Source organism: Homo sapiens, chromosome 8 (genome assembly GCF_000001405.40).
Source record: "Homo sapiens chromosome 8, GRCh38.p14 Primary Assembly".
Lineage (NCBI taxonomy): Eukaryota > Metazoa > Chordata > Mammalia > Primates > Hominidae > Homo > Homo sapiens.
Genome location: NC_000008.11, coordinates 118,729,412 through 118,735,652, shown reverse-complemented (window position 1 = coordinate 118,735,652; position 6,241 = coordinate 118,729,412).

The window sequence follows — 6,241 nt, the reverse complement described above, 5'->3', positions numbered from 1 at the left end:
TGTGTAGCATATTGATTATGAACCTCAGATGCAAGCAAATTTCAGTCTAGGAGGTTCTCTAATAGAAAATCACCACAACACCCTAGAAATCACACTCACATGGAGAGTTACGTATTCCCCATCCCGCACCCCAATCAAGAACGAAGTAAAGACAACCTGGAGGAACAGGCCTATCCAAGAGTTCTGCAAAGAGCAAGACCTTCAGTTGTCAACAAACTGCTTCCATGATGATGCTTCTCAATTTGCAAAAGAAATTTGACCAATTCACTTAACTTAGATATAAGAATTCTAATTATTGGTCTTGGGACATACATGTTATGTGAATAATAACAGGTTAAGTCTGCACTAACAGTATCTACTAGCCGTACGTGTGGCTATTTTAACTTAAATATAAAATTAAATTAGTGTTCTTGAATCACACTAGCTACATTGTGAGTGCCCAATAGGCACATGGAGTTAGTGGCTACCGTATTGGAACAGCACAGGTAGCAAACATTCCCATCCAGGCAGAAATTTGTATTGGACAGCTCTGGTCTAAGTCTTTCACCTTTGCCTGTAGAAATAGTTTAATGTCCTCCATTTCCTAAAGCCATACTTTCAGAAGAACTAAGCTGATTTCTAACATCTCAAAGAACTAAATAGGAAGTCATATCTACAATAACGTAGGCTTAGAACACAAATAGCTTGGCTGGTTTTGGTCTCAGTTTGTTATGCCTTGTACCTTAGTTGCAGGAGGTACCTACAGTAGTGATTCCAGTTCAAAGCCATCCAAGCTAGAAAAGGAAAGCAAGACATCAGAAATCAGATAGAACTTAATCTCATTTCTACTACTCCTCTATTTCATAGAGCCAGGCTAAAATTTTGGTGTAAGTTTATATTTTTATGGAAAACTATTACAGAAAATCTAGGTCAATAGTCATAATTGATATATAATAACTTGTTTGGATTTGTCGTAACTCATTCAAATGTTTCCATGAAATTAAGAACATTTTATGCCGTCAATGAAAATAAAGAAAGAAGTGGATGAACTAGGTTGTGAAGACAAAGAAGAAATAATGGAAGAAGAACCCATTCTGGTCTTTCTCAAGTGTGATATTCATATAAACTGTGCATTGATCCTCAGGATGGATATGACTGGTGACCAAAGTAATGGTCAAGGTCTCTGAAAACATGACTTGGGCAGCAGATCAAAATTCAGTGTCTATTGCTTTGTTTCTGGAATGTAATACATATATATTGCCAAATTTTTTTTAAAAAAAGATGTATATTACTGCAGCCCAATTCCTCACTGGTGAGCCCCTTTATAATGTCTCAGCTTCTGTTTAGTCATATTATTCTTCCCATTTCTGCAAAGGCTGTCACATCAGAAATGAAAGATTATTTTTCACCACCTCACCTAAATTTGTGAAGATTCAGTAAGAGGACTGGGGATCTAATTATAAATGGCTTAAGTCTTTTATCTGATTTGAACAGACAGAGCCTCAGCAACACTAAAAATCAAAATGTTTTTCCAGGCAAGTCTTATTAAACTGTGGTATATCTTAGTTTAAAATATATTCATTCTCTGAAACCTACACATATACTCAGAAGACTTATCTTTCTTATTTGCAACTGGGAGAAAGAAATAGGAGAATTGTAATCTACAAACTGATATATACTTTACATTTTTTAGCCCAATTCCTCAAATTATAACTTTAAGAAGAACTTTAAGAAATAGTTATATAGCGTGAAATGTGTATGTATGAGTATGTATTGTGAAAAATTTTCCATTGAATATAAACTTGTAGTTGTCAGGGATTAATGGTATAAACCTTTGCATTGTGCCAGCATCTACAGTGACCAGGATTGAGTCTATTTCTACAGGATAGAAACTAACATGATGGTTAGAAGTTCAGCCTTAGAGTCAGACTAGGATTACAATATCAGCAATGCTACTTTCTGTCACTTTGGAAAAGTTATTTTATCTCTCCAGGTCTGTTTTGTCACTTGTAAATGCAGAAAGTAATATCTCAGACTGGTTGTAAGGATTAGTAGTAATGAATTCAAAACATCTGGCATATGGCAGGGAGCCAATGGATGTTAGCTGCTGTTGTCACTCATGTTGCTGTCACCCTTGTCCATGAGCAAGACAGCACTACAATGCTATCCACAATAGCAATCATGGAATCAGTCTAAGTGTCCATCAACATTTGTGGTAACAAGTGAATTGGATAAAGAATCATAGTATATAAACCATGGAATACTATTCAGCCATAAAAAAGAACTAAATCATGTCTTTTACAGCAACGTGGAGGCCATGATCCTAAGTGAATCAATGCAGAAACAGAAAACCAAAAACTCCATGTTCTCACATATAAGAGGGAGTTAAACAATGGGTACTCATGGACATAGAGATGGAAACATTAGACACTGGGGACATCAAAAGGCAGGGAGGGATGGAGAGGAAAGGGTTGAAAAACTACCTATTGGGTGCTAATTTCACTATTTGGGTGATGAGTCCAATAGAAGTCCAAATCCCAGCATTACACAATATAACCATGTAAAAAACCTGCACATGTGACCCTGTATCTTTTTTTTTAAGTTTTGGACTACATGTGCAGGATGTGCAGGTTTGTTACATAGGTAAACGTGTGCCATGGTGGTTTTCTGCACCTATCAAGCCATCACCTAGGTATTAAACCCAGCAATGCAACAGCTCTTTTTCTTAATGCTCTCCCCTGACCACCCTCCCCAGACAGGCCCCAGTAAGTGTTGTTCCCCTCCTTGTGTCCATGTGCTCTCATTGTTCAGCTCCCACTTATAAGTGAGAACATGTGGTATTTGGTTTGCTGCTCCTGCATTAGTTTGCTGAGGATGATGGCTTCCAGCTTCATCCATGTCCCTGAAAAGGACATGATATCATTTCTTTTTATGTCTGCATAGTATTGCATGGTGTATATGTACCACATTTTCTTCATCCATTCTATCATTGATGGGAATTTAGGTTGATTCTGTGCCTTTGCTATTGTGAATAGTGCTGCAATGAACATATGCATGGATGTATCTTTATCATAGAATGATTCATATTCCTTTGGGTATATACACAGTAATGAGATTGCTGGGTCAAATGGCTTTTCTGGTTCTAAATCTTTGCAGAATCACCACACTGTCTTCCACAATCATTGAACTAATTTACACTCCCACCAACAGCGTAAAAGCATTCTTATTTCTCTGCAACCTTATCAGCATCTGTTGTTTCTCAACTTTTTAGTAATTGCCATTCTGACTGCCATGAGATGGTATCTCATTGTGATTTTGATTTGCATTTCTCTAATGATCAGTGATGTTGAGCTATTTTTCATACGTTTGTTGGTTGCTTTTATGTCTTTTTCTGAGATGTGTCTGTTCATATCCTTTGCCTATCTAGGCAATACCATTCAGGATACAGGCATGGCCAAAGACTTTACAATGAAATCGACAAAAGCAATTGCAACAAAAGTAAAAATTGACAAATGGGGTCTAATTAAACTAAAGAGCTCCTTCACAGCAAACAAAACTGTCATCAAACAGACAAGCTATAGAATGGGAGAAAACTTTTGCAATCTATCCATCTGACAGAGGTCTAATATCCAGAATCTACAAGGAACTGAAGCAAATTTACAAGAAAAAAAACAAACAACCCTGTATCTTAAAAAAAAAATGGTGCCATAATGATATAAATATGCCTGTAGAAGACACGATGACATCATCAGCCTTGGAAAGCCAAAGCACTTCTGTGTAATCATTAGGCATGTATTTTAAGCATTAAAGTAATAAATGCCTCCTTGTATGATGAATTTAGTGCAGACTACAATCACGTGAAATACTACCCCTAACCCTCATCTGGGCCACATCGGGACTGATTTCCCTTTGAGAGAGAGGCTGTTGTGGTGGAAGTTTCTTGTTTTTTGATGTTCACAGTTGTGTTGGTTTTGGTTTTCATTCTTTATCTTTTTTAATGTCCTGGATTTGAAGTCTAGAAACCTAGGTTTGAATTCCAGCTCTGTCATTGATGAGTTGTGTGACCTTAGCTGCTAAATCTCTTGCCTTGCTGGATCTCGATTTCCTCATCTGTAAAATTGGGGGCCATTTTGAACATTATGGAACTTGAACTTTTGAAAGTGCTTCGCAAACTATTATGCTAGTTATGATGTGGATTAAGAAAAAGCCACCAGAAAGATGTTACTACAATACAACTGTGTTACCAAGGAAGGGCACAAATGCCCTGGGGCTTCATTGTCTTATCACATTTGTCTGCTCTGACTTTATTTATTTACTTATTCACTCACTCACTCACAAATATTTATTGAATGCCTACTATGTGCCAGATGCAGCTGCGGAATCTGGAAATGCAGCGGTGAAGAAAGCAAATGAAGTCCTTCTCTTCCTGAAACACACACACTGGGTGAGGAGACAATTACCAGGTCAACAAATACATGCTCTAATCCCAGGCAGTGGTAAATGCAATGAGAACAAGTGAAGCAGCTAAATTAGTGTATTAGTTTGTTTTTGCATTGCTATAAAGAAATACCTGAGGCTGGGTAATTTATTTTTAAAAGAGGTTTATTGGGTTCATGGTTCTGCAGGCTGTGCAGGAAGTGTGGTGCCAGCATCCGCTTCTGGTGAAGGTCCCAAGAAGCTCCCAATCATGGTGCAAGGTGAAGGGGAAGCCAGCATGTCACATGGTGAGAGACGAAACAAAAGAGAGGGAGCAAGAGAGAGAAGCAGAGGTGCCAGGCTCTTTTTAAACAACCAGATCTCGCATAAACTCAGAAAGAGAACTCACTCATTACCATGGGGATGGCGCCAAGCCATTCATGAGGTTTCTGCCCCATGACCCAAACAGCTCCCACTAGGCCCCACGTTCAACCCTGGGGATCACATTTCAACATGAGATTCGGAAGGACAAATATCCAAATTATGTTAGCAGTCTTAGGAATAGTTTGGGCATAGTCTTCTCTGAAGAGGTGACATTTAAGCAGAGACTTATATGAAGTGAGAGACTGGGCCACATGACTGTCTCAGGAAGAACCTTTCTGACAGAGAAGACACCAGTATAAACACATTGAGGGAGGAGCATACTTGGAATCTTGGAGGAACATCAAGGAAAACAGGGCATTTGATGTCTAGTGAGCCAAGAGAGGAGTGGCAGGAGAGGGAGCCCAGAGCATTTTGTACTTGTAAATCATGGTAAAAAGTTAGGATTTTATTTGGCTATGTCAAAAGATCAAAAAAAGCATGAGAGCTGAGGGCTAAAAGAGGAGAAATGTGGGTGAGGGTGGGGAAGGGAGATGGAAGGAAATACAACATGGGGCACAGTGGAGGAGGGTAAATCAAATAAGGAGCCACAGCGGCCAGTCCTGGACTCCCAAATCCCTCAGAGCTTGGGGAGTGATAAGGTAGATGCAGACAAAGGCAGTCCTTCCCCAAGCTGGCCAATGCCTTCAGCAGGGAGCATGATCAGTACTGAGATCTAGTACAACTTTTGCAGAACAACATTTGACACAAGTATAGTCAAATAAGTTAGCATTCACATTTAAAGTGCATTTGGCAGGAACGTGTTCAGATGCTGATGTGAATGAAGAAGAGGCCACAAGCATTCACAATAAAGAAAAATTAAGAAAGACATTGTATATCTCCCAAAAGGTGTAATAAAACACAATGTGTCTGAGATGGTGTTTTATTATTACTGCTACATTTCTAATCCCACTTGCCCACTGCCTATCACATAGTAGGCACTGAAAGGTTTGCTGAGTGCATGAGATAAGGAAGGAAGGAAGGAAGGAAGGAAGGAAGGAAGGAAGGAAGGAAGGAAGGAAGGGAGGGAGGGAGGGAGGGAGGAAAAAGGGAAGAAAGAAGGGGAGAAAGGGAGATATGAAGAAAGAAATGGGTAACGTATTAGTTTCCTAGATCTGCTGTAACAAATTACCAAAAACTTGGTAGCTTTAAACAACAGTTATGGAAGCTAAGAAGTCCAAAATCAAGATGTTAGCAGAATTGTTTCCCTCTAGAGGCTCTTAGAATATATTCCACGCCTCTCCTAGCTTCTGGTAGCTGCTGGAAACCCTTGATAGTCTTGGTTTGGGGCTATGTAACTTCAATATCTGCCTCTGTCTTCATATGGGCTTCTCTCTGTGTCTGTGTCTCCCCTTCTTATAAGGACATGTGTCATTGCATTTAAGATTCACCTAATGGTCATATCTGAAGATCCTTAACTTGATTA